Source organism: Homo sapiens, chromosome 12, assembly GCF_000001405.40.
Source record: "Homo sapiens chromosome 12, GRCh38.p14 Primary Assembly".
In the NCBI taxonomy this organism is placed as follows: domain Eukaryota; kingdom Metazoa; phylum Chordata; class Mammalia; order Primates; family Hominidae; genus Homo; species Homo sapiens.
The window spans coordinates 106,993,326-107,019,949 of NC_000012.12; the positions used below are offsets into that span (position 1 = coordinate 106,993,326).

The following is a 26,624-nucleotide window of genomic DNA, read 5'->3' on the forward strand; positions in this document are numbered from 1 at the left end:
TAGGGGCAAGAGTGAGATAGACATTCCTCCCTCACTCTTGTCCCTTTTCCCACGCTTTTCCTTCAGAGCTCCTCCAAACATATTTCCTTGAGGATAAGGGAATAAGGGCCTGCCCGATGAGTTAAACAATTCAAATCATACGACAAGCAGAAGACACAGACTATGTGGCAGTTACCTAGCCTAAGCAATCCTATCAACCCTTCTAAAAACAAACACTATTATAGGAGAATAGGTTGGCTAGAACAGAGAAGTATGTTTTAGGGAAACATTTCTGTCAGTGTGTCCAGTTTATGGAAAAATATGAGCATTCTGGACCTATCCACGAGCAGGTGGATAGGTCAACACCTTATGGCCTGAACAAGACTGTGCACTTACTTTCGTTTTAATTAACTTCAATCCCAGGCAATCAGTGGCAGTTGCTCACCCTAAGTGAGTATGAAGTACTATCCCATAGTTGTTTTAATTTGCATTTCCCTAATGACTAATAATGCCGATGAACTGATATTTTACAATAAAAAAACCTAAAAGTTAAATAAAAACTAAAACATATTGCTACAGTAGTAAACATATTACAGTCTGTTTTATTATAAGAACAAAAGTAAGACTTCTATGTATAGTTTATTCCTTTCCTGAGCACATGTGCACACACACACAAATACAAAGATGAGCAGAGAAAAATGCAATTTGTGTTGCAGAGATTAAGAATGTTCCACAGTCATTAAAAAAACAAACAAAAACAAACAAACAAAAAACTAAGACAAGTAAAAGAATTTTGCCCTTTGACATGCCTTGTAAGGTACTATAAAAGCCTACAGACAGGATAAGTGTAAGGCATAAAAGGATATGCTTTAGAAGCATTTAAGTCCTTTCAAATGGGGCAGAAACCTGAGAGGAGAAATGTTTAATATTAATAGCATAGCCCAAGCCGTGTCTTTTCACAATTTCCCATTTCCAGGTCTAAAATGTTTTTTTCCTTCATCTGACTACCCAAATGCTACTCAATCCTGCCACCTTTCAAGAAAGTTTCTCTAGTCCCTTCAGCTCTCAATAATCTCTCCCTTTTCTCATATTGCACATGGAGGCAGCATCTTATAATTTATCACTTTTTCATTTGTTTTTGTTTTCCCTCCACACCCCCATTTATACTTAAGTTCTACTTAGCTTTTCATGTCTCATGTCTTTTGAAAGCCTCCAAGAAGCTGGCTACAAACTATGTTACAGGCAAATATTTACATGATTAAAATAATTTCAAGATTTATTAATTCTTCTATTATATAATAAACTACCCTATATACATTTGTGAAGCAAAATTGTCCCAATTTAACCTGCTACTATGATTAGCTTTTGAAGATAATTCCAAATAAACGACACAGGTTTGAGTGGTCTAAGAAGCAGTCTGTGCCATCATTGTGTATTAGCCCAACCCTTGGTTCCTAGCCCATTGCTACCTGCCTGTTATCTTAGTGCTTCACAGAGCTTCTGTCCCTCACTCATGTGTGGGCTGACAAGGCAGGCTGTGAACTGAACAAGAGATCTGAAAGAACTTTTGAAATGATTATCTTGTGGAAGTTTATTCAAATTGTAGGAGATACTGAGAAGGAACATTTCTCAAGTATACTGCCATCACTGGCAACTGTCGACTGCTGGGTGGATCACATTCCAGGAATAAAATATTTTCTCTTGTAAACACTTATGGCATTCCATTTGCAGAGGAGGCCCAATGATGCAGGAAGAAGTACAAGCTTTGGAGCTAGTCAGACTTGGATCTGAATCTTAGCTCAACTACTTACTAACTGTGGGATCTTGGTTAAGTTACCTAATCTTTCTAGGATTATTTCCCCAAATATAAAATGAGGATCCCACTACCTCCTCCCCAGGTTACTGTGAGAAAGTATGCAAAAATCCCTTACTATCTACTGGGCAAAGGTAGGCAGTCAAAATGTGAGTGCTTTTGTCCCCTTCTCCCAAAACTAATTCTTGGAGGATAAAATACATGCTGTTTTCATGAGGATGCAGGACATTTCTGAATTCAAAAAGGTTCAGTTTTTAAAAGGTTTTATTCTTAATATCAACTTAGAACATCTGACTTAAAAAAGCATTCCTCAAATGCTACCCTGTTTTTATCCTGTTTTTTTTATTTTGAAAAATATAGATTCACAAACAGTTGTAAAGTTAGTACAAAGAGGTCCTGTTTCCCTATCTTCTTAGTGACATCTTATGAAACTACAGTACAACAATATAACCAGGTATTGACATTGATACAAAGTGTTTGTATGATTTTATGCTCTTTTATCACATGTATAGATTTCTTTTTTCTTTTTTTTCCCTTCAATTTTTATTTTAAGTTCTGGGGTACATGTGCAGGATGTGCAGGTTTGTTACATAGGCAAACATGTGCCATGGGGGTTTGCTGCACAGATCAACCCATCACCTAGGTATTAAGACCAGCATGCATTAGCTATTCTTCCTAATGCTCTCCCTGCCCCTGCCCCCCCAACAGACCCCAGCATGTGTGTTTTGTTGTTTTTTGTTTTTGAGATGGAGTTTTGCTCTTGTTATCCAGGCTGGAGTGCAATGGCGCGATCTCAGCTCACCACAACCTCTGCCTCCTGGGTTCAAGTGATTCTCCTGCCTCAGCCTCCCAAGTAGCTGGGATTACAGGCATGCGCTACCACGCCCGGCCAATTTTGTCTTTTTAGTAGAGACGGGGGTTTCTCCATGTTGGTCAGGGGCTGGTCTCAAACTCCCAACCTCAGGTGATCCACCCACCTCGGCCTCCCAAAGTGCTGGGATTACAAGTGTGAGCTACTGCACCTGGCCCCAGTATGTGTTGTTCTCCGCATGTATCCATGTGTTCTCATCATTCTACTTCCACTTACAAGCAAGAACATGAGGTGTTTGGTTTTCTGTTCCTGCCTTAGTTTGCTGAGGATAATGGCTACAAGCTCCATCATGTCCCTGCAAAGAACATGATCTCGTTCCTTTTTATGGCTGCATAGTATTTCATGGTACATATGTACCACATTTTCTTTATCTAGTCTATCATCGACTGGCATTTAGGTTGATTCCACGTCTTTGCTAATGTGAATAGTGCTGCAATGAACATACGTGTGCATGTATCTTTATAACAGAATGATTTATATTCCTTTGGGTATATACCCAGTAATGGGATTGCTCAGTCAAATGGTATTCCTGCTTCTAGATCTTTGAGGAATCACCACACTCTCTTCCACAATGGTTGAACTAATTTACAATCCCATCAACAATGTAAAAGCCTTCCTTTTTCTCTGCATCCTCACCAGCATCTGTTGTTTCTTGACTTTTTAATAATCACCATTCTCACTGATGCTGTCCTATTTTTTAATCAAATTACTGAGCTTCATGCTATTTTTGGTCAAAGCCAAAAACTAATATGATGGTTCAAATTTCTAACACATACTGAGTTCCTGAAATTATTAATATCACACATAAGAATTTACATGGTCACTAAATTTGTATCATACAGAAAACTACTACAGACCAGACTTTATAAGAAAAACTTATGTGCAAAAAGACTAGAGGGCTCTATGCATGTGTACAATAAATCTTTTGGCCATGTTCACAGGGCCACTGACTTTCTTAACTAATTACCTTATAGTTGCCATACACCTAAGGAGTAAAAAATAATAAGCATTCTGAAAATATGACATTTGAGTTTCATTTTATCCTTAAAATTGCTCTCCTCAGTTTGCAAGAGCTTTAACTTGACCCAGTATCTATTATACGTAATGATATTTTCCATCTCTAAAATGTCATCAATGGAGTGAAGAGATGTGTCTGGGTGCACATGTATGCATGCATACAAAGAATCTATTAAGCTAATTTCAAAGACAGATTTTTATAAAATATGTTAGTGAGGATCAATAACAAATATATTTGTTTAATAACCTCTTCATGTTACTAAGTGCAGAAATTTCCTTTTCACTTACTTCCACTGCTGCTACAACCTGGGATATTTTCTGCAGAATATCCCATGAAGCCTCCATTCCCATTAGGATTAGAAGGTACTGATGCCAGAAGACCTAAAGGACAAAAAAATTTTCTTTTAAATTATGATCAAGATAAAATTCAAAGATAAGTACATAAACAGCTGCCAAAGAAACAAAGACAGTTCTTAACATACCTAGTCCTCTATATCGTGAAAGCTGCTGATAGATCTGTTTCATCCTTTCGATATTCAAACGGCTTGCCTCAGCATGGTTCACCATTGGTTTAGGATAATTAACTCCTATCAAACATTTGGCTACCTTTTGGATACCTTCTGGTGCATTCCAGGGATCATAGATATATTTTGCAGGGAAGCCTCTTAGGACAGGCAAATAACGCCTTTGGGAGAAAAAAGAAAGATTACTAATAAAATGCACTCTAAGCAAACTATAACTACTAGCTATGACAGACCAAAATCAAATCAAGACCATTTAAATGATCTGTTTACCCTTCTCATCTCTGCTGCCCATCATGAGTGGGGAATACTTTAAGCATTGATTAAACATGAAAAGCTCTTCTTGAATTAACTATTCCAAACTGAGTAGTAATCACCCTTGATTTACCTGATATAGTCTCCATTGGGATCTGTTCTCCTACCAAAACCAACAGGGCAATAGCAGTGAAAAAACTGTTGAAAAAAGGAACTACAAGACAGCCACATCCAACTTCCAGCATTTATGCTCCAATCTGCATCAAGCAATAATTCTTCAAATACCTTCAGAAGTAACAGTAACCAATTAGTTTGCACACACATAATTCGCAAAGCAAGCATTTTCAAGGTCACAGTAGAGCCAAAGTCAAGGCAAAGAAAATCTAGCACAGAATTGTAAAATTAAACATTCCAAAGTTAGCTTCCCTATGTTCTGTTCTATAATGAGCTCTTCCAGAGAAAGAAACATAGTGGTAATATAGTATGCTTCTGAAGAGAATTTACTTTTCCAACCTCTGCAGTGTTACTGGGAGAATGGAAGGTAAAAAAAATATTCAAATCACTGATTTAAAAGGATGTGGATTTAAAAGGATATTATTAGTAGACACAGGAAAAGCAGTCAACCACTTTCAAGAAAGCAAAAATGCTATTACATAAAACACCAACAAAAACTTAGCTTCATATTCTAGCCTAAATAAAGGAAGCATACTCAAATATAAATTCACTTAAAAATATATACTAGCATTACATAGTTTAATTTCGAATTCCTTGATCAGAAAGAAAATAGAATTAAAATAAATGATTTTTATATATATTCATTAAGTATGTTATATATTGTCTTTGTATACAACGGTGTACTAGGAAATATAAGAGATTAAACACACACACACACACACACACACACACACACAAGCTCAGAAATGGTCCTTGGATGGGGCAAATGTATGGTATTGCCAGAAAGGTAAAAAATGTACGTAATGGCCGGGCACGGTGGCTCATGCGTGTAATCCCAGCACTTTGGGAGGCTGAGGCAGGGGGATCATTTGAGGTCAGGAGTTCAAGACCAGCCTGGGCAATATGGTAAAACCCTCTCTCTACTAAAAATGCAAAATTAGCTGGGCACAGTGGTGGGCACCTGTAATCCCAGCTACTCGGGAGGTTGAGGCAGGAGAATCACTTGAACCTGGAAGGCGTAGGTTGCAGTGAGCTGAGATCACGTCATTGCACCCCGGCCTGGGCTACAGAGTGAGAGACTCCGTCTCAAAAAAAAAAAAAAAAAAAAAGTACCTAAGTCTTATTACGTGTAATCCACAAGATGTCGTCACAAAATGTAGTATGCTTCTCTTTACATAATAGAAGTATTACTAAAAAGCTGAGAAGTGAGGTGAAATGATTTATATTTTAAAATTTATAATATGAATTCACTATCTCTAGGAACTCTTTAGTGAATTCTTTTCGTGATAGAAATATCACCTATAAATATATCTATCAACAAATTCAGTGTTAAATTTTACAGTTCTCTTAGTGGCTAGGCTGGTTTAACCATTAAAATGACTTTAGGTTAATCAATTTAACCAGTTTTCACCTTTTTGCTTGTCTGATTATACCATTTTTCTCTGAAAGTGTCCCCGTATTTGGGGAATTAAATGTTTTATCCACTGAAAAACTACACCATAAATGAATCTATAAACAGACAACTTCTAGGATTTGTTTTATTAAGGTAAGGATTCCTTCAAAATAAGGCATGCTATATCAGTTAGAACACTTACCTTCATTCCTTCTTCCCAACTAATCCACAGGTCCCCTCGTGTCAGGAAGCAAGCAACTGCATGCCTGGCTAGATGATGAATCCAACCCTCCTGACGAAGCTGTGTCATGATGGCATCAATCCATGGAAAGCCTGTCCGGCCTTCCGCCCATTTGGCTAAAGCCTCAGGATTTTTATCCCAAGGAATCTGAACACAGATAGGGTTTCCTTCCATTTTATCAAAGCGTGGATTATTTGTTGCTGCTGTATAGAAAAATTCACGCCATAACAGTTGCCCATAAAGGGAAAGGGGAGGGGAACTGTTCTTCTTTACCTATGGTTAAAAAGCAAAGAAGTATTATCAGAATTTTTTTTTAAAGTATTAAACAATAAGCTCTAATTTTAGAGAATACCTTTTTGTAGAGATCTGTTAGTTTGAAGTAAAACAGTCGACATGACAAACAACCAAATCGGAGATAAGGACTAAGTCCAGTAGGGCTTGCAAGCAGAGAATTCGCATTCATTCGAGGTCTTTCAAAATTTGCCACCCAAGCCTGAAAACACACAGAGAAAATTATATTAACTAATTGTCTTTTTCATTTTAAAAGAACACTCAGAATGGAGATTTTTTTTTTTAAAGTTACATAGTTCTTGGGGAATAAAATCTTATCCTAGCCACAAATTACATGTTTTAATAAAAAATAAGACAGGATAAAAAAGTGAGCATTCTTTTGTTTCAGTCGTCCTTGTGCAGCACATACTCATGTGAAATAAATTTCCTTCAAATTTCCAACAGAAAGCTGAGAGCACCTTCAATCTCTCTCTCTTTTTTTTTTTTCCTGAGACAGGGTCTCGCTCTGTCACCCAGGCTGGAGTGCAGTGGCTCAATCTCGGCTCACTGCAACCTCCAGCTCCCGGGTGGAGGATTCTCTTGCCTCAGCCTCCTGAGTAGCTGCGACTACAGGCATGCGCCACCACGCCCGGCTAATTTTTGTATTTTTAGTAGGGATGGGATTTCACCATGTTGGCCAGGCTGGTCTCAAACTCCTGACCCCAAATGATCTGCCCACCTCAGCCTCCCAAAGTGTTGGGATTACAGGTATGAGCCACCAGGCCTGGAAAATTTATTTATTTATTTTGAGATGGAGTCTCACTCCATCACCCAGGCTGGAGTACAGTGGTACGATCTTGGCTTACTGCGACTTCTGCCTCCTGGGTTCAAACAATTCTCATGCCTCAGCATCCCAAGTAGCTGGAATTAAAGGCACACACCACCACCCTGGCTAACTTTTGTATTTTTAGTAAAGATGGGGGTTTTGCCATGTTGGCCAGGCTGGTCTTGAACTCCTGACCTCAAGTGATCCACCTGCGTCAGCCTCCCAAAGTGCTGGGATTACAGGCGTAAGCCACCATGCCTGGCTTTCAACCTCTCTTTAACACAAAGGTAAAGGTGAAATATAATTCTATTCTAGTTTCGAAATTGTGGCCACTAGATACTAGCTTAGGTAGAAAGAACAGAAGAGGTAGTGCGGTAGTAGCTAAAGGGGAAATAATTAGAAGAGAAGGAGAAAGAGCATTTAAATGAGGAGATGGTAGTTAACTTTCAAACAATTAGGTTTGTGCTATTTTAACCATTTCTGTTAATCCTCCCCTTTCAACAATCTATTTGTTATTTTTAAAAGAGAGAAAAATTATTTTTTAAATGGCAGTTTGGAAATACAAGCATAGCTATATAATCTACATTATCATACTTTTCTTTCCAAATGCCTTTCCAAACGAGTAAGTGCTTCAGTTTCTCCACCTGGCCACACTGCAGAGGATAAGCCATCTGTATCAAAACCTACAAGAAAGAAAAGAAAAAAACATCATTCTTCCGAAACTAATTTTTATTTAACCCCAATAACTGGGAGAACAAATTACTTTGCAGAAAAATTAAGAGAGTACCATAAAAATGAACTGAAGGCCTAAATAAGCCCTCACCTATAGAGGATATGACATGGTTTCAATTTTTCAGGATGTACATCTTAAGGTGGTAACAATAGATCACATATTTATAAAACACATAAATGATGAACAAACATATCACTTCTTAAAGGGTTCTTTTTCTTCTCCCCCTGCCCTTTCTTTCTCTCCTAATGCAAAATACTTTACATGGCAAAATTAAAAGGGGAATTTTCTGAGTAATTTATGATTTATTAACTTGCAAGCCTCACACTGACTACAGTTTACACTCACCTAGCTCTTCCAGTGAAGGGACTCCATATTTCTCATCATGGTCATCAGACAGAGGAGTTGTGCACTTTTCTATCACTTCTGAAGTAATTGTCTCTACTGGTATCTCTAGTGGTTCCATTTTGCTGATGAGAGTCTGGAATCTTTTATAAGTTAGAGGCGGTTGTCCACCATTGAGTTCTATGATCCTATAACAAGAGTTAGTAAAATGTAGTTAGTATTAAAAAAGACAATACATTTTGGCTAATAAGCTCCCAAAAGGCTTAAAAAGCAGAAAATAAAATTAATCACTGAAGTCTTTGAGGGTGTTAGCTTGTTATAATGACCAAGAAATGTGTCCAAAATGATTAATGAGTCCAAAAATCATTCTCCTGAGCTTCTAGACATCCTCTGGGTATCAAATATACTACACAAATATACTACACAAATATTAAACCTTTAAGACAAAGAATATTAAAAACTTATGAGAGGAAAAAACAAGTAAGAGGGGAAATTAGTCTAAAGGCAATTACAAAAAGTTAATACACACAGACATATGAAAAACATGTTATGGCCCAGCTCAAAGAATCTCAATCATCAATAAAAACTAAACCAGGTTGATAATTATATGAAAGAGTAATCAGCAGGTCTCATTTAGGAAAAATAAATTTTATTGTATATATTTGAGTTTACAACACATTATGGGATACATGTAGATAGTAAAATGGTTACTATAGTGAAGCAGATTAACATATTTATAATCTCAGTTACTTTTTTGTATGTGTGTGACAAAAGCAGCTAAAATCTACTTATTTGATTAAAATTCCAAATAAAATACAATTTTATTAACTAAAATCCTTACTCTGTACACTAGACCTCTAGTGTTGTTCATCTTACATAACTTCTACTTTGTATCCTTGGACCTACATTCCTGATATGGTTTGGCTGTGCCCCCACCAAAATCTCATCTTGAGTTGTAACTCCCACAATTCCCACATCATGGGAGGGACCCTGTGGGAGGTAACTGAATCATGGGGGCAGGTCTTTCCCGTGCTGTTCTCATGATAGTGAGTAAGTCTCACAAGATCTGATGGTTTTTAAAAGGGGGAGTTACCCTGCACAAGATCCCTCCTTGCCTGCTGTCATCCATGTAAGACATGACTTGCTCCTCCTTGCCTTCCACCATGATTGTGAGGCCTTCTGAGCCGTGTGGAATTGTAAGTCCATTAAATCTTTCTTTTGTAAATTGCCCAGTCTCGGGTATGTCTTTATCAGCATCGTGAAAACAGACTAAAACAATTACCCTATTTCCTTCAGCAAATTTTATAAATTTTGATTCTATATTACTGTGGTGACAATTACTTCCTATTTTCTATTGTGCTAATGAAGGCATGAGAGATGTCAGCATATGTATCTATGTCACATACTTAGAACACATAAGCCCCCAAATTTCAAGTTATTTAAATTTAAGTATCTTTTTACTTCTGATCATTAATTAACTCAATCAATTATTAATTAAAAAAATAACTAGCTTTGCCAATGGTAGTTAAAGATTAAGTTTAGACACTCTTTTGGAATAACTACTCTTTTTCACTATGGCCATTTGCTTAGCATTTGGCCTTAATAAAAAATGACAGGTGAAATCCAACTCCATCATTTTATAGATGTGAAAACAGGCCTACCAGGAGAGTTAAGTAAACTAGTCAAGGTCATATAACTGATAAACGGCAAATCAAGGTTTTCTTAGTGTATTTTAGTGTATTTTTCATTATACAATACGTAGTGATGTATCAACTACAGATACATACAGAAAGTAATACAGAAAGCAATCACCATAAAAGATATCCTGTTTAAGTAAATTTTGTTTTGGTGTATTTTGAATTTATTCATAGGGTTGCAATGAATTTTGCTGAATGTAATGATGCTACAATAATACTACTGAGGACATTGTTAATTACACAACAGTAGCAAAATGAGAATCTTAGGACAAAACATTTTCTATATGTTACATTTTAATATGATAGATTACATATAGTAAATATTCACATTCAATCCAATAAACACTTGATTTTTTTTTTTTTTTTTGAGACAGAGTCTTGCTCTATTGCCCAGGCTGGAATGCAGTGGTGCTATCTTGGCTCACTGCAACGTCTGCCTCCCGGGTTCAAGTGATTCTCCTCCCTCAGCCTCCCAAGTAGCTGGATTACAGGCACCCGCCACTATGCCTGGCTAATTTTTGTATTTTTAGTAGAGATGAGGGTTTCACCATTTTGGCCAGGCTGGTCTTGAACTCCTGACCTCGTGATCCATCTGCCTCGGCCTCCCAAAGTGCTGGGATTACAGGTGTGAGCCATCGCGCCTAGCCTAAACAATTTTATGCATAACACTGAGTCTCCCACTTAGAAGCAACTGCTTTTATCCTGTGTTGCCCCCTCCTTGCTATGAGCTCCTTAAAGTTAAGCAAATTGGTGAGCTCGAAGGCAAGATTATTATTAAAAGATATATGAATTCTAGCTTAGTATCAAGACCTTTGTCTGAATCAAATCATGATTTTTTGATACATTTAAAATGTGAAATCAAATCAACTAGTTTGTCATGTTACAGAATTTGTTTTACTAACTTGATAAAATACATAAATTACTAAAAAAGTAAAATGATTTAAAAGGTAAATAAATTATAAGATTTCAGTACTTAAAAGGACAATGGTATGCCAAAAGTTTTAAAAAGTTAAGTTTTACAGACCTCTAAGACTCATAGCATATAACACTCCCTAAATTTAAGTTTGACCACAGAATTTCTGTGGGACAAAGCATCACCAAGGACTGGTGCTGGAAGAAATACACTTTGGGAAATATTCTATTATGCCATTGTTCAGAGGACTACAGCTATGCAATGTTATATTACATCCAATTTGCATCTGGATTTAAAATCCAGACAGACATAATAGATATACATGAAATAAGATAACATTAAACAAGCATACAAAATATGTCAAGGCAATTTATAACTATATATAACTATAAAATTGATAATGCTAAGAGCCCAGAAAGGCAAGACCACAGGAGGCTGAGTTAAGAGTAGTCAAGGAAAATTCTGTAATAGTCTTAATCCATAATAGTTTTGAAACTGAAATGCTGATACCTGTCATTGGGTCAATAGCAGCTAAATAAAATGCTAAGGATTTGACATATGTTCACTTAATTCTCCCATAACTCTGTGAAGTACATGTTATTTCTACTTTATAAACCTCAGTTAAAAACTTATCTATGTAGTTAATACCACCGAACTATATACTTAAAAATGGTTAAGATGGTAAATATTATGTTATACGCATTTTCCCACAGTAAAAAAAAAAAAAGGACTCACTTGTCTAGGTCATATAATGTATGTGAAATTCTTACAATGACTTCTACTCCAGCTTCAGTTGCCAGTTTCTTAATAGCTGCGTCTCGTTCCTTTCCAAAGGGCTCAGAATCATACTCAATTGAAAGTTTAGTAATGTTCCATTCCTAAAGTAAGAGAAAGGGGAACAATGTACACCAATTGTAATAGTTATTTTTTCTATTATAACGAAAAGTGAAAAAGCTGAAAATCTACATATCAAAGGATTATACATAAATCAAACTTTGAATATGCAGGAAAAAGTAAACAATTTATCAATTAAAAAATACATAAGTAATGAATGCATAACCCATTAGATTCTAGGCATTATGCTAGGCAACAATCTAGCAAAGCAATATGCTTAAAACCAGCTCTTATACTAAATGTGTTTGTAGAGCACTTTACTTTTTCAAATTACTCATACTTACATTATTTCATTTGAGCCTCAAAACAACACTCAGAGTTTGGCACTTTGGTTAGTATTTCCATTTTGGAGATAAGTTTATTTTTAAAACTTAGGGACCTGCCAGAGTTCACAGAAAGCCAGACCACCTGAATTTATGTCTGTTGAGTCTAAGAACTGGTCTTTAACTAACCTTTGATATTGATATGGTATAAGCTGCCTGGCTGAGGTCGTGTGTGTGTGTGTATGTAAATATTTTCTTTCTGATTACTAAAAAACGTTAACTGAAAAATTTGGAGATGGTAATAATAATAGCAGTTACTTATTATCAGGAGCTATGTTAATAAGTTCTGTACATCTCCTTATACTGATTTTAAATGAGGAAACTGTGACTTAAAGGAATTGATTTTTCTTAAGGAGAAAGTTTTTTTTTTATTCTAAGTCTATTCTGATTTATCTCATAAAGAAAAAATTCTACCATTATTTAACTGCCTATATGGTAACATACTATAATTCACCAAACACCTCCAGATTAGACAAGGGCTATTCCAATGGTGGGTTTAAAAAAATTGCTATTCTAGGCGGCGTGCGGTGGCTCATGCCTGTAATCCTAGCACTCTGGGAGGCTGGGGTGGGTGGATCACCTGAGGTCAGGAGTTCAAGACCAGCCTGGCCAGCATGGTGAAACCCCGTCTCTACTAAAAATAAAATCATTAGCTGGGTATGGTGGCACATGCTTGTAATTCCAGCTACTCGGGAGGCTGAGGAAGTAGAATCACTTGAACCCGGGAGGTGGAGGTTGCAGTGTGCCACTGCACTCCAGACTGAGCGACAGGAGCGAGGCTCCATCTCAAAAAAAAAAAATTGCTATTATAAACTTTACAGTATATATCTTTACCTTTATGCACACATCTTACAAATTATAGGGTATTTATCCAATTTTTTCCTAGAAATAATCCCTTGAAAAACAACTGATGGATCAAAGATAAGCACATTCAAAATTCTGATAGGCTGTCAAATTATGTACCAGAAAGACTGTACAAATTTATATTCCCATCAGCAGTGCACCTAAGGCTTGATCTCCACACACTTGCCAATAATATGTATTAGTAATCTTTTTTTTTTTTTTTTTTAGATGACATCTCACTTTGTCACCCAGGCTGAAGTGCAGTGGCTGAAGTGCAGTGGCATGATCTTGGCTCACTGCAACCTCCACCTCCCAGGTTCAAGCGATTCTCCTGCCTCAGCCTCCCGAGTAGCTGGGATTAAAGGCACATACCACCACAACTAGCTAATTTTTGTATTTTCAGTAGAGAAGGCATTTTGCCATTTTGGCCAGGCTGGTCTCAAATTCCTGACCTCCATCTACCTCGGCCTCCCAAAGTGCTGGGATTACAGGCGTGAGCCACCATGCCCAGCCAGTAATTGTTTTTAAATGTCTGCTAAACTATTAGGAAAAAAATAGTATCTCATTAAAAATTTTTTCCTTTCTTAAAAGTCCTGAAAAGTGCACATCAAGAAATTAAGGGCTGTTGACTTTGAGGAATAGAATTTGAGCATGTAAATAAGATAACTTTTACATTCTGCTGCATTGCTCAGATTTGTTAGTACGAACTTGCTATTTTTGAAATTTAAAAATAAAACTAAGATGAGAATAGAAAAGCATTCTATTTCTTTGTTTTATAGTGAGGTAGTATAGAATAGTTTAAAAACACAGGATCTAACAAGTTAGACTTCCTAAGTTCAAAGACTGGCTCAACTACTTAGGCAAACTGCTAAACTCTCCATGCCTGTTTCCTAGTCTATAAAATGGGTAGAGTAAGTAAGGTGCAGAGAGAGTGCCTAGCACGTAATAAACCCTATGTAAGTATTTGCTACAGTGATGTGAAAAAATTAACCATATTATTGGGTTGCTAAAGAATTAAATAACATAATGCATATAGAGTGTTTAGGACAGAGCACAATGCATAGCAAGCCCTCAATGAATGACAGGAACTCTTTTTCTTCTTTTTTTTTTTTTTTAAGAGTTAGGCTCCCACTCTGTTGCCCAAGCTGGAGTGCAATGGTGCAATCATAGCTCATTGCAACCTCAGACTCCAGGACTTGAGCAATTCTCCCACCTCAACCTCCCGAGTAGCTAGGACTACAGGCATGCACCACCATAACCAGCTAACTTAATTTTTTTTCGTAAAGACAGGGTCTCACTGTATTGCCCAAGCTAGTCTCAAAATCCTGCCCTCAAGAGATCCTCCTTCCTCAGCCTCCCAACGTGCTGGGATTACAGACGAGAGCCAATGTGCCTAGTGCAATTTAGCACTGTTTTTTGAAAAACATTATTTTAAATCTTAGTAAATACTGAAGTGAGTCAATAAATAACACTTCCTGCCCCTTTTCCTTCTTGAGTTCAGTCACGTAAGCCAGGGGGCTAAAGATAAAAATATCAGCCATATTATTAGCAAAGCTGAATTGTAGAAAACATACCAGGTTTCAGGGCAGGTAAACTTGCTAATACTATTTCACTGTTGAATCAAACAGATTTACCTACTCAATCATAAGCAGCACCTCCCGCAGTGTGGGCTTTCCCTATAAAACGTATCACATAGAAGAGGAGAATATAACGTGTGCTCTCTACAACTAAAAGAAAAGGAACCGTCTCAGCTAAACTAGCCCAGCTCCTTCTCCTAAACTCACCAATGAGATCATTCACTTTTCCTTCCCTGGGGATAAATTAGTGAACATCTCTCCAAAAGAAAAATGAAAATCTAGGGAAGAGAAAGTTTCCCAAAATTAAATGCATTCAGTAATACACTAAGTATTTATTATAATTCTAATTATATGACAGATATTATGCTAGATGCCCCTCTCCTGGAGCTTATTGAGAAAGAGTGGCAATACAGAGGTAAATTACTGAATACGTAACTATTAGGGAAAAAAATGCTATGATAAAGAATACGGGGATGGGGTATGAGGTGGTAAGCTAATAATCCACACTCTGTCTTCCATGACTGCACTGGCTAGACTTCAAGTAATTTGTAAAAGCAAATATCCTTGTTTTTTCCTATCTTGGGTAGAAAGCATTCAGTGTTTCACCTTTAAGTAAGATTTTATGTTTTTTTGTAGACTTCCTTTATCAAATTGCTATTTAGCACTTGATATGGTTTGGCTGTGTCCCCACCCAAATCTCATTTTGAATTGCAGCTCCCATAATCCCCACATGTCATGGGAGGGACCCAGTGGGAGGTAACTGAATCATGGGGGTGGGTTTCGCCCGTGCTGTTCTCATGATAGTGAATAAGTCTCACAAGGTCTGATGGTTTTTTTAAAGGGCAGTTCCCCTACCCATGCTCTCTTGCCAGCTGCCATGTAACATGTGCCTTTGCTCCTCCATCTTCCACTAGGATTGTGAGGCCTCCCCAGTCACGTGAAACTGTGAGTCAATTACATCTCTTTCCTTTATAAATTACCCAGTCTCAGGTATGTCTTTATTTGCAGTGTGAGAACAAACTAATATAGCACTTTAAAGAATTTCTAGTTAGCTAAAAGACCTTTTTAAAAAGTATACACGGGTGTTGAATTATGTCAGATGCGTTCTCTTCATTTGTTAAGATAATTTCTCTTTTCCTTTATCCTATTAACCCAGTAGGTTATATTAATTGATTTTTTTAATGCTCAACCAACTTTGTATTCATGAGATAAACCCCACTTGATCCTGAAGTAGCAGTATTTTAAAATATTGCAGGCTGGGCACGGTGGCTCACACCAGTGAGCTCTTTGGGAGGCTGAGGCAGGCGGATAGCCTGAGCTCAGGAGTTTGAGACCACTCTGGGCAACATGGTGAAACCCCGTCTCCAATAAAGATACAACAATTAGCCAGACGTGGTGGTGGGTGCCTGTAATTCCAGCTACTCAGGAGGCTGAGGCAGGAGAATTGCTTGAACCCGGGAGGTAGACGTTGCAGTGAGCCAAGGTTGTACCACTGCACTCCAGCCTGGGCGACAGAGCAAGACTCCATCTCAGAAAAAACAAAAAAACAAAAAAACATATATATATATATATATATATATATATATATATATATAAAATCTCTATATCTCCAGGTTCACGGTCCGGTACGGTGGCTCATACCTGTAATTCCAGCACTTTGGGAAGTCAACATGGGAGGATGGCTTGAGCACAGGAGTTCGAGCTCAGCCTAGGTAAATATAATGAGACCACATAGTGTCTTTACAAAAAAAACTTTTTTTAAATAAAAAATATTGCTAGATTCAATTTAGTGATTTCTGAGTCTTTGTTTATGGGGGACACTTGGCTATACTTTTAATTTTTTCTCAAACTTTCCTTGTCAGGTTGTGGTATCAGGGTTATGCTGTCCTCATAAAATGAGTTGGGAAGTAATCTCAATCTTGTTTTCTGAAAGAGTTTAATTTAAGAAGGAAATACTTCCTTCTTAAATGTGTGATATAACTCAAAATAAAGCCATCTAAGGGCTTGAAGTTTGTTTATGGGAAGGTTTTTAATTACAAATTCAATTTATTTAAGAGATATAGGGCTATTCAGGTTTTCTTTTTCTTCTTATGAGAGTTCTAGTAAATTATACCTTTCAAGAAATTTTTTCATCTCAGATATATAATTTATTGACAGTATAGTGTTTACGATATTCTTTACTATGCTTTTAAAGTCTGGAGAATCTCTAGTGATGTCCTCTTTCTTATTCCTGATATAGGTAACTTGTATTTTCTTTCTTTTTTGTCCGAATCAGTATTAAGAGTTTATCAATTTTATTAATGTTTTCAAAGAACCCGTTTTTGGCTTTGTTGACTAACAGGAGACAAAAATCACATCAGCAATTTGAACATGAAAAATTTACAAGGGCAACTCATTTTATTGTGCTTTGCTATTTATTGCACTTCTCAGATATTGTGCATTTTATAAATCAAAGGCTAACGGCAACCCTGCACTAAGCAATTCTATTGGTGCCATTTTCCCAAAAGCATGTGCTCACCTCGTGTCTCTGTGTCACATTTTATCAATTCTCACAGTATTTCAAACTTTTTCATTATTATATCTGTTATGATGACCTGTGATCTCTTCTCTTTTTTTTTAAGAGACGTGGTTTCACTGTATCACCCAGGCTGGTCTTGAACTCCTGGCCTCAAGTGATCCTCCCATTTCAGCCTCCTGAGTAGCTGGCACTACAGGTACCAGTCACTACACCCAGCTTTTATCAGAGATCTCTGATGCTACTATTGTAATTGTTTTGGGGTGCCATGAATTGCACCCATAAAAGAGGGTGAACTTAACTGATAAATGTAGTGTGGTCTGTCTGCCCTACCCAGCCTTTCCCCCATCTCTTTCACCCTCTCTCCCTCTCCTCAGGCCTCCTTATTCCCTGAGACAACAATATTGAAATTAGGCCAGTTAGTAACCCTACAATGGTCTCTAAGTGTTCAAGTGAAACGAGGAGTCACACATCTCTCACTTTCAACCAAAAGCTAGAAATAAGCTTAGTGAGGAAGGCATGTTGAAAGGTGAGACAGGCCAGGCTGGGCGCAGTGGCTCACGCATGTAATCCCAGCACTTTGGGAGGCCAAGGCGGGCGGATCACGAGGTCAGGAGTTCCAGACCAGCCTGGCAACATGGTAAAACCCTGTCTCTACTAAAAACAAACAAACAAACAAAAACTGGGCATGGTGGCATGTGCCTGTAATCCCAGCTACTCGGGAGGCTGAGGCAGGAGAATCGTTTGAACCCGGAAAGCGGAGTTTGCAGTGAGCTGAGATCGAGCCATTGCACTCCAGCCTGGGCAACAGGGCAAGACTCTGTCTCAAAAAACAAACAAAAAAAAAAAACAAAAAAGAAAGCTGAGGCAGGCCAAAAGCTAGGCCATTTGCACCAGTTAGCCAAGATGTCTAAACAAAGGAAAAGTTCTTGAAGGAAATTAAAAGTGCTACTCCAATGAACACATGAATCATAAAAAAAAACAAAGCAGCCTTAATGGCGATATGGAGAAAACTTTAGGGGTCTGGATAGAAGATCAAACCAGATACAATACTCCCTTAAAGCATAGTCCTAATCCAGAGAGAGGCCCTAACACTCTTCGATTCTGTGAAGGCTGAGAGAGGTGAGGAAGCTGCAGAAGGAAAGTTGGAAGCTAGCAGAGGTTGGTTCATAAGGTTTAAGCAAAGAAGCTGTCTCCATAACCTAAAAGTACAAAGTGAAGCAACAAGTGCTGGGTGGAGAAGTAGCAAGTTATCCAGATCTATCTAAGATAATGAATTAAGGTGGCTACACTAAACTACAGATTTTCAGTGTTGATGAAGCAGCCTTCTATTGGAAGAAGATGTCATCTAGGACTTTCATAGCTAGACAGAAAAAGTCAATGCCAGGCCAGGCACTGTGGCTCATGCCTGTAATCCCAGCACTTTGGGAAGCTGAGGCAGGCAGATGCTTGAGGTCAGGAGTTCGAGACCAGTCTGGCCAACATGGTGAAACCCTGTCTCTACTAAAAATACAAAATTTAGCCGGGCATGGTGGTGCACGCCTGCAGTCCAAGCTACTCAGGAGGCTGAGGCAGGAGAATCAATTGAGCCCAGGAGGCGAAGGCTGCAGTGAGCCAAGATCGTGCCACTGCACTGCAGCGTGGGTGACAGAGGAAGACTCCGTCTCAAAAATAAAAAAAGAAGAAAAAGTCAATGCCTAGCTTCAAAGCTTCAAAGGACAGGCTGACTTTCTTGTGAGGGGCTAACATAGCTGGTGACTTTAAGTTGAAGCCAATTCTCATTGCCCATTCTAAAACTCCTAGGTCCCTTGAGAACTATGCTAAATCTACTCTGCCTGTGCAGAACAGGAACAACAAAGCCTGGATGACAGCACATGTGTTTACAACATGGTTTATACATATTTTAAGCTCTCTGTTGAGACCTACTACTCAGAAAGAAAGACTCCTTTAAAAATATCACTGCTCACAGACAAACGTACTTTGTCATCCAAAAGTTCCAATGGAGATTTATTAGGGAGATTAACATTGTTTTCATTCCTACCAATGTAACATCAATTCTGCAGCCCATGGATCAAGGAATAATTCTGACTTTCAAGTTTTATTAAGAAACACATTTTGTAAGGCTATAGCTGCCACAGACAGTGATTCTTTTGATGGGTCTGAGCAAAGTAAATTGAAAATCTTTGGAAAGGATTCACCATTCTAGATGCCAATAAGAACACTTGTGATTCATGGGAGGAGGTTAAAATATCAACATTAACAGCAATTTGGAAGAAGCTGATTCCAGTCCTCATGGATGACTCTGAGGGGTTCAAGACTTCAGTGGAGGAAGGAACTACAAATGTGGTAGAAATAGCAATAGAATTAAAACTAGAAGTGCAGCCTGAGGATGTGACTGAATTACTGCAATCTTATGATAAAACTTGAATGGATGAGGAGCCGCTTTCTATGGATGAGCAAGAAAGTGGTTTCCTGAAATGGAATCTACTGCTGGTGAAGATGCTGTGAACATCATCAAAATGATAAAAAAGGATTTAGGTTATAACACAAATTTAGTTGATGAAGCAGTGGCAGGGTTTGAGAGGACTGACTCCAATTTTTAAAGTTGTACTGTGGGTAAAATGCTATCAAACAGCATTGCATGCTATAGAGAAATCTTTGGTGAAAGGAAGAGTCAATTGATGTGGCAAACTTCATTACTGTCTTAAGAAATTGCCATAGCCACCACAACCATCAGCAACCACTACCCTGATGAGCCAGTAGCCATCAGCATTGAGGCAAGAACCTCCACCAGCAAAAAAGATTATGACTTGCTGAAGGCTTAGATGATCACTAGCATTTTTTTAGCAACAAAATATCTTTAATTAAGGTGTGTATTTTTTTTAGTCATAATGCTACTGCACACAGAAAAGACTACAGAATAGTATAAAGACAACTTTTATACATATGCATTGGAAAACAAAAAAATTGTGACTTGCTTTATTGTGATGTTTGCTTTATTGCAATATTTACTTTATTGTGGTGGTCTCGAACCAAACTTGTAACATCTCCCAGGTATGCCTGTATCAAAAATTGTAATTGTTAGCTACTAAAGGTGGTCAACAATGACAAGGAATAAAACAGGAGATAAGGCTACACTTCAGTATGGTAGGTAGTAGCCACTAGGCCACGTGTGGCTTCTGAGCACTGAAATGTGACTAGCTGGCACTGAGATCAGCTGGAAGTATAAAATACATACAAGATTTCAAGAACTTCATATTTTTTTAAAACTCCGTTTAAAATAAGCTATTTTAAAAGATAAAATAGCTTATTAATACTTTTATATAGAATATTTTAGATATACTGTGTTGAATAAATCATTAAAATTAATTTCACCTGTTTGTTTTTACTTTTTTAATGTGGCTATTAGAAAATTTTAAATTTAACATGACTTCTATTGGATGGTACTGCTCTAAGGTGTTCAAAAGTACCAATTGCAGAAAGCAGCTGCCACCTCTATGTGGACGGAAAATAAACAAGGAATGAATAAAAAACTTAACAAAAGCTCCCTCCACCAAGCCACTGAGATTCATGGCTCATTGGATGGAGCGTGCTGCCACAGGAACACACAACCTTCCCTGTAAAGAAATTTACCGGAGGGCAATGACCAAAGGTGTTTCATACCAATAACCTGCTGGTTGGCTGAGAAACTTCCTGGTAGGTATGGGCTAACCAGGTTATCTGTAGAAGCTGTCCACCAGGTGGCATAGAAACTTATCAGAGGGTATAAATAGGCTTACACAGAAATTCACCAGAGGGTGTATGTAGGCTGTGGCTGGTTCAGGAGGGCTGCTGAGGTGAATGCTACTGATCCTCCGGCATACTCATCTGCTAGCCCAGGGAAAAAAAGCACAAGTATATCAAGAAGAAAAGCTTCTTCTCTCCTGCTGTGACACAGTATCACACAGTAGGGCAAGAAGGGTGGGTTTGGCACTAAGAAATAATAAACTAATTAATGCATACTGATTTTCTTTATTGTTTTCTATTTCATTGATTCCCGTTCCTCTTTATTTTTTGTTTTCTTTCTACTAACTATTAGTTTAATGTGTTCTTTTTCTATCTTTAAGGTAGAAACTTAGTTCTTGATTTTTCCTTTTCTAATACAATATTGAAAGCTATAATATTAAGTTTCCTCTAAGCACTGCTTTAGCTGCATTCTGTAAATTTTGATATACAGTCCTCCCTTGGTATCTGCAGGAAATTGGTTCCAGGACCCCCTGTGGATACCAAAATTCACAAATGCTCAAGTCCCTTATGTAGAATGGTGTAGCATTAGGATATAACCTGGGTGTATCTATATATATATATTTTGTGTGTTTTTGTTTCTTTTTTTTTAGACAGAGTCACACTCTGTTGCGCAGGCTAGAGCACAGTAGTGCAATCTCAGCTCACTGCAACCTCCGCCTCCTGGGTTCAAGTGTTTCTCCTGCCTCAGCCTCCTAAGTAGCTGGGATTACAGGTGTGCATCACCACTCCCAGCTAATATTTGTAGTTTTAGTAGAGACGGGGTTTCACCATGTTGGTCAGGCTGGTCTTGCACTCCCGACCTTGTGATCCGCCGGCCTCAGCCTCCCAAAGTGCTGGGATTACAGGCGTGAGCCACCACGCCCAGCCTTTAAAGACTTTATTTTCTCAATTCTCTAACGGGTTCAAACAAAATAAGAGGAAAAAAGACCTCTATAATTTTGTGTCACATTCACTTTCATCTCCTTGTTAATATGGGAAACAATGATCTATTGTGAGTTTTTACATCTTAACCAGAGATGGAAGTCCCTATCTACTCTTTTTTTTTTTTTGAGACAAGGTCTCACTCTGTTGCCCAGGCTGGAGTGCAGTGGCATGAATATAGCTCACTGCAGCATTAACCTCCTGGGTTCAAGTGATCATCCCTCCCACCTCAGCCTCCTGAGTAGCTAGGACCACAGGCATGCGCCACCATACCCAGCTAATTTTTAAAAATTTTTGTAGAGATGCGGTCTCAGCATGTTGTCCAGGCTTATCTACTCGTTAGAGCAGGTTTTTATTTTAAGCAACACGTAGTTACCTTTGAATTTCAATACCTAGATTTAACAGTAAGACTGCAAATAGCACCAACATATTTTCATTTGAGTAAGTGAATATTCACTTTGCAATTTTTTTTGAGCGAGGGTCTTGCTCTGTTGTCCAGGCTGGAGTAGAGTGGCATGATCTTGGCTCACTGCAGCCTCCAACTTTCCAGGCTAAAGTGATCCTCCTACCTCAGCCACTGGAGTAGCTGGGACTACAGGTGTATGCTACCATGCCCAGCTAATTTTTAAAATTTTCTGTAGAGACAGAGTCTCACTATGTTGCCCAGGCTGGTCTCAAACTCCTGGGCTCAAGCACTTGGCAATTTTAAGCAATAAGATTTGTATCTATTTTTGTGTATCACAATTACTTGTTAATCAGAAAGGATAACATGAACAACTAAATGAATATAAAGTTCTTGGCTGGACGTGGTGGCTCACGCCTGTAATCCCAGCACTTTGGGAGGCAAAGGCAGGTAGACCACTTAAGGTCAGGACTTCGAGACCAGGCTGGCCAACATGGTGAAACCTCATCTCTACTAAAAATACAAAAATTAGCTGGGCATGGTGGCGCACTCCTGTAGTCCCAGCTACTCAGTAGGCTGAGGCACGAGAATCACTTGAACCCAGGAGGTGGAGGCTGCAGTGAGCTGAGATCGTGCCACTGCACTCTAGCCTGGGTGACAAAGTGAGACTTGGTCTCAAAAAACAAAAATAAAATAAAACAAAACAAAAGAAAGAAATAGCACTCCCAAACAATTTTAAAAAAAAGTTCTTAAGTCATAATTAATATACTGTGAAAATAAGCAATGTAAAATTTGATAGTAAAACTAAAAGTTGTAAATCACATATGTCCTAGGAGAAAGCATTTATTTTTTAAATTGACAGTAAATTAAACAGTATAATTGCATAAAAATGTAAAGCTACCTCACAAAATAATCCAAATACAAAGAAGGTAAAACTCTAAAAATTTCCATCCATCCATCCATCATCCTTTCCTTCTGTTTCATAACTCTAGTCTTAGGGTCTAAACTACTATTTATATACTGAAGAGTCCTAAATTTAGTCCAGACTTCTCCCTGAGCACTAGACTTGAATGCCTTCTCAACATGTACATTAACATGCCTAAAAGGCATCCCAAACTAAAAATTTATAAAATGAACTTCTTATTTTTTCCTTAAACTTGTTCCTCCATAGTCTGTTATTCCATTAAATGGGAATCCATTCTGCCATGCGTCCAGGCTAAAAACCTAGAGTCATCCTTGACTCTCATATATCACATATAGGCAAACCTTACAGCCTCTATTTAAAATATATATCCAAAACCCTACCACTTCTCAACACCTCTACAGCTACCCTGGTCCTGGTCATCATCATCTTATTCCTAAATAACTGCCATTGCCTCCTAACTGATCTTTCTGCTTCTGCCTCTACAACACTTCCAATCCCCTGTGTATTCTCCACAAACAGCCAGAGAAATTCTTGTAAATCATGAGTTAAATCATGTCACTCTTCTACTCAAAACTCTCCAATGGCATCTATTTCACTCCGAGTAAAGGCTGAAGCTCCTAACATGATCTATAAAGCCCTATGATCTGGCTTCCAGCCACCTCTCCGACGCCATTTCTTCTTTTCACTCACTGTGCTCTAGCACACTGGCCTTGTTGTTGTTCCCTAAACAAATCATGCACATGTCTACTTCAAGGCCTTTGTTAAGCACTGTTTCCTCTGCCTTCCATGCTCCTTCCCCATGTTGCAGTTAGCTTAGTGGAATTGTTAATTCTCAAAATTCTGTCAGGTATCTGGATGGTTCTTTTATTGGTTTCACTCGGATCTGCTCATGAGGCTGCAATTCGCTGGCAGCTTGGCTGGGGCTGGAGTGCCTAAGATAGTCAAACTCACACATCTCAGACTTTGGTGTTGGCTGTTGTTTGGTCCACTCTCTATATGTGGCCTCCCAAAGTTAGATATTCTACCCCAGGCTTTCTTACATGATAGAAGGAGCATCCTAAGAGGGGAAAAGTAGAAGCTGAAAGGTCGCTTAAGGCCTAGGATTTGGAATTCACAATGTCTTCTTTGACACTTGGTTAAAAACAAGTTGTAAGGGCAAGTCAGATTCAATGGGGTAAGGAAATAAACTCTACCTTTTGACGGAAAGAGCTGCAAAATATTGTGGATATGATATACCACAACCCAGATGCATGGCTCACTCTTCATATGCTTGCTCAAATGTCACCTTATCAGTGAGGCCTTCTTTGATTCCATATAAAGTAACTTTCCCTCACCTTGACATTTACTATCCCACATTTTACTCTTCTCTACAGCACATATCACCACCTGACATTGCATGTTTACTTATTTGTTTACTATCTGTCTCCTTCCACTACAGTGTAAGCACCATGAAGACAGAAATTTTTTGTTTCACTACTGTATCTCCAGTACCTCAGACACAGCCTTGTATATAGCAGGCACTCAATCAGTATCTGTTGAATACATTCTATCAAGCATGTGTCATGAATTAACAAAGCAAGATCCAAAGTAACTTAAAAAAGCATAATATAAATTTTACTGTTGAAAAATGGTGGCTTTATATGTTCTTTTATTCTGTGATTTTGAACAAAACATTTTATAATGCTTCAGTGTGGCCATCTATAGACTTTAGCCATGTGTCACTGTTTCTTAGATATAATGAGGCTGGGCACAGTGGCTCATGCCTGTTATCCCAGCACTTTGGGAGGCCAAGGTGGTGGAGACTCCTGGATCCTGAAGCCAGGAGTTTAAGACCAGTCTGGCCAATTGGCGAAACCCTTTCTCTGCTAAAAATACAAAAATTAGCAAGGTGTGGTGGTGCATGCCTATAATCTCAGCTACGTGGGTGGCTGAGGCACAAGAATGGCTTGAGCCTGGAAGGCAAATGTTGCAGTGAGCCAAGACAGCACTACTGCACTCCAGCCTGGGCAACAGAGCAAGACTCTCTCTCAAAAAATAAAAATAAAAATAGAAATAATTAAAAAAAGAAATAGATATAATGAGAATGTTTTTAAAAAATCTAGATATTAATTATGCACCTAGTCTCTAAAACCAATAATTTAAACTCCTTATTAAAAGTTTCTGCAGGGCCTAGAAAGAGCCATCTTGTTAGCCTATATTAAGTCAGAGTTTAACTTAGAAAAGAAACTAAGTAAAAAACGCCAGAAAAAATGACAATAGTTTATTAGATATATATGTGTTTACCTAAGTGTGTATAAAAATGTTCTGACCCATTCCTGAATCTACTCCTTATAAACAGAATAAATTGAGTGAATGACACAGAAGAAAGATACATACTAGGGGAGATATCAGTACTGGAGCCACTGACACAACTATCCCAATTAACTAAGGGTACTGTTACCAGGTCTAAACTAGCCTTACCTCCAATGTGGAAAACCAGATTAATTACCTATTAAAAATCCTCACTACTTGCTGTACTAGAACCAAAAGACCTGAGACACTAATTAAGTAACTCAGCTAGTTAATGACAGAAGAATCTTCTCCCTCAGAGAAACTGTGGTTGTGATGGTTAGGGTGAAGGTGGGGGACAACATGCTTTTAATTGTATATCCTTTTAGCCTTTTTTTTTTAAACATATGCACGTTGAACCTATAAGCAAAAAGTAAAAATCAAAACATTAATTCAATAAAAAGGAATTAATTCCCTCTATGGCTCTAGATATGGTAAATAAATCTAAAAGGAAGTTTTTATAAATGGAATTTTATACAGACTACTATATGTAGCTAAAGAAAAAATCAGAATAAAATAATAAGTACTATATGTATATGTATGTGTTCATGTATTTGTATATTAGGGCCCATGTGGAAACCCATTCCTCTCTGCCAAATTGATAAGATAGGACATCATTTAAATACAGAAGATAGTTTGGCCCAATAATGTGCTATTTTAGGCAGAAGAAATCTCAAAACAAAGAACACAAAACACTTGCTGGTTTGAAAAATGTTGTTTCAAAAACAAGTAAATAAGAATTTTGTTATTTTAAAGCAACTAGGGCTAGGTGCTACAGCTTATGCCTGTAATCCCAGTGCTTTGGGAGGTTGAAGGAGGATTGCCTGAGGCTAGAAGATTGAGACTAGCCTGAGCAACATAGCAAGACTACCAAACAAAAAAAAAATTAGCCAAGTATGGTGGTATACAGCTGCAGTCTTAGCTACTCGATCCTGTAGTCCTAGGATCACTTGAGCCTAGGAGTTTGAGGCTGCAATGAGCTACAATGGCACCACTGCACTACAGTCAGGGCAACAGAGCGAAACCCTGTCTCCCCAGCACCAAACAAAAAAAAAGGCAACTCC

At 38.0% G+C, this 26,624-nt stretch overlaps 1 protein-coding gene across 17 annotated transcripts in view, besides 1 other annotated feature; it reads right to left on the bottom strand.

Annotated features, from left to right (window-relative positions):
• The window catches only part of CRY1 (cryptochrome circadian regulator 1), a 102,186-nt gene that overhangs the window by 1,962 nt on the left and 73,600 nt on the right, over positions 1–26,624 (bottom strand). For 12 of the 17 annotated variants that reach the window (NM_001413468.1, NM_001413463.1, NM_001413460.1 and 9 more), the window contains 8 exons: positions 11,781–11,923; positions 8,439–8,623; positions 7,955–8,043; positions 6,617–6,757; positions 6,226–6,537; positions 4,590–4,741; positions 4,163–4,365; positions 3,969–4,061 (listed from right to left, as the gene is read on the bottom strand). In NM_001413468.1, coding sequence (NP_001400397.1) covers positions 3,969–4,061; positions 4,163–4,365; positions 4,590–4,741; positions 6,226–6,537; positions 6,617–6,757; positions 7,955–8,043; positions 8,439–8,556 — 1,108 coding nt within the window. In that variant the 5' untranslated portion in view covers positions 8,557–8,623; positions 11,781–11,923. The remainder of the gene's footprint in view (positions 1–3,968; positions 4,062–4,162; positions 4,366–4,589; positions 4,742–6,225; positions 6,538–6,616; positions 6,758–7,954; positions 8,044–8,438; positions 8,624–11,780; positions 11,924–26,624) is intronic. The other 5 variants (NM_001413467.1, NM_001413470.1, NR_182152.1 and 2 more) reach the window with 4 other exon arrangements.
• Positions 9,392–9,592: a silencer, noted in NCBI's record as "peak1931 fragment used in MPRA reporter construct". NCBI's record gives its function as "represses an SCP1 promoter by STARR-seq MPRAs in K562 erythroleukemia cells {active_cell/tissue: K562}" and the evidence as "EXISTENCE:reporter gene assay evidence [ECO:0000049][PMID:32103011]".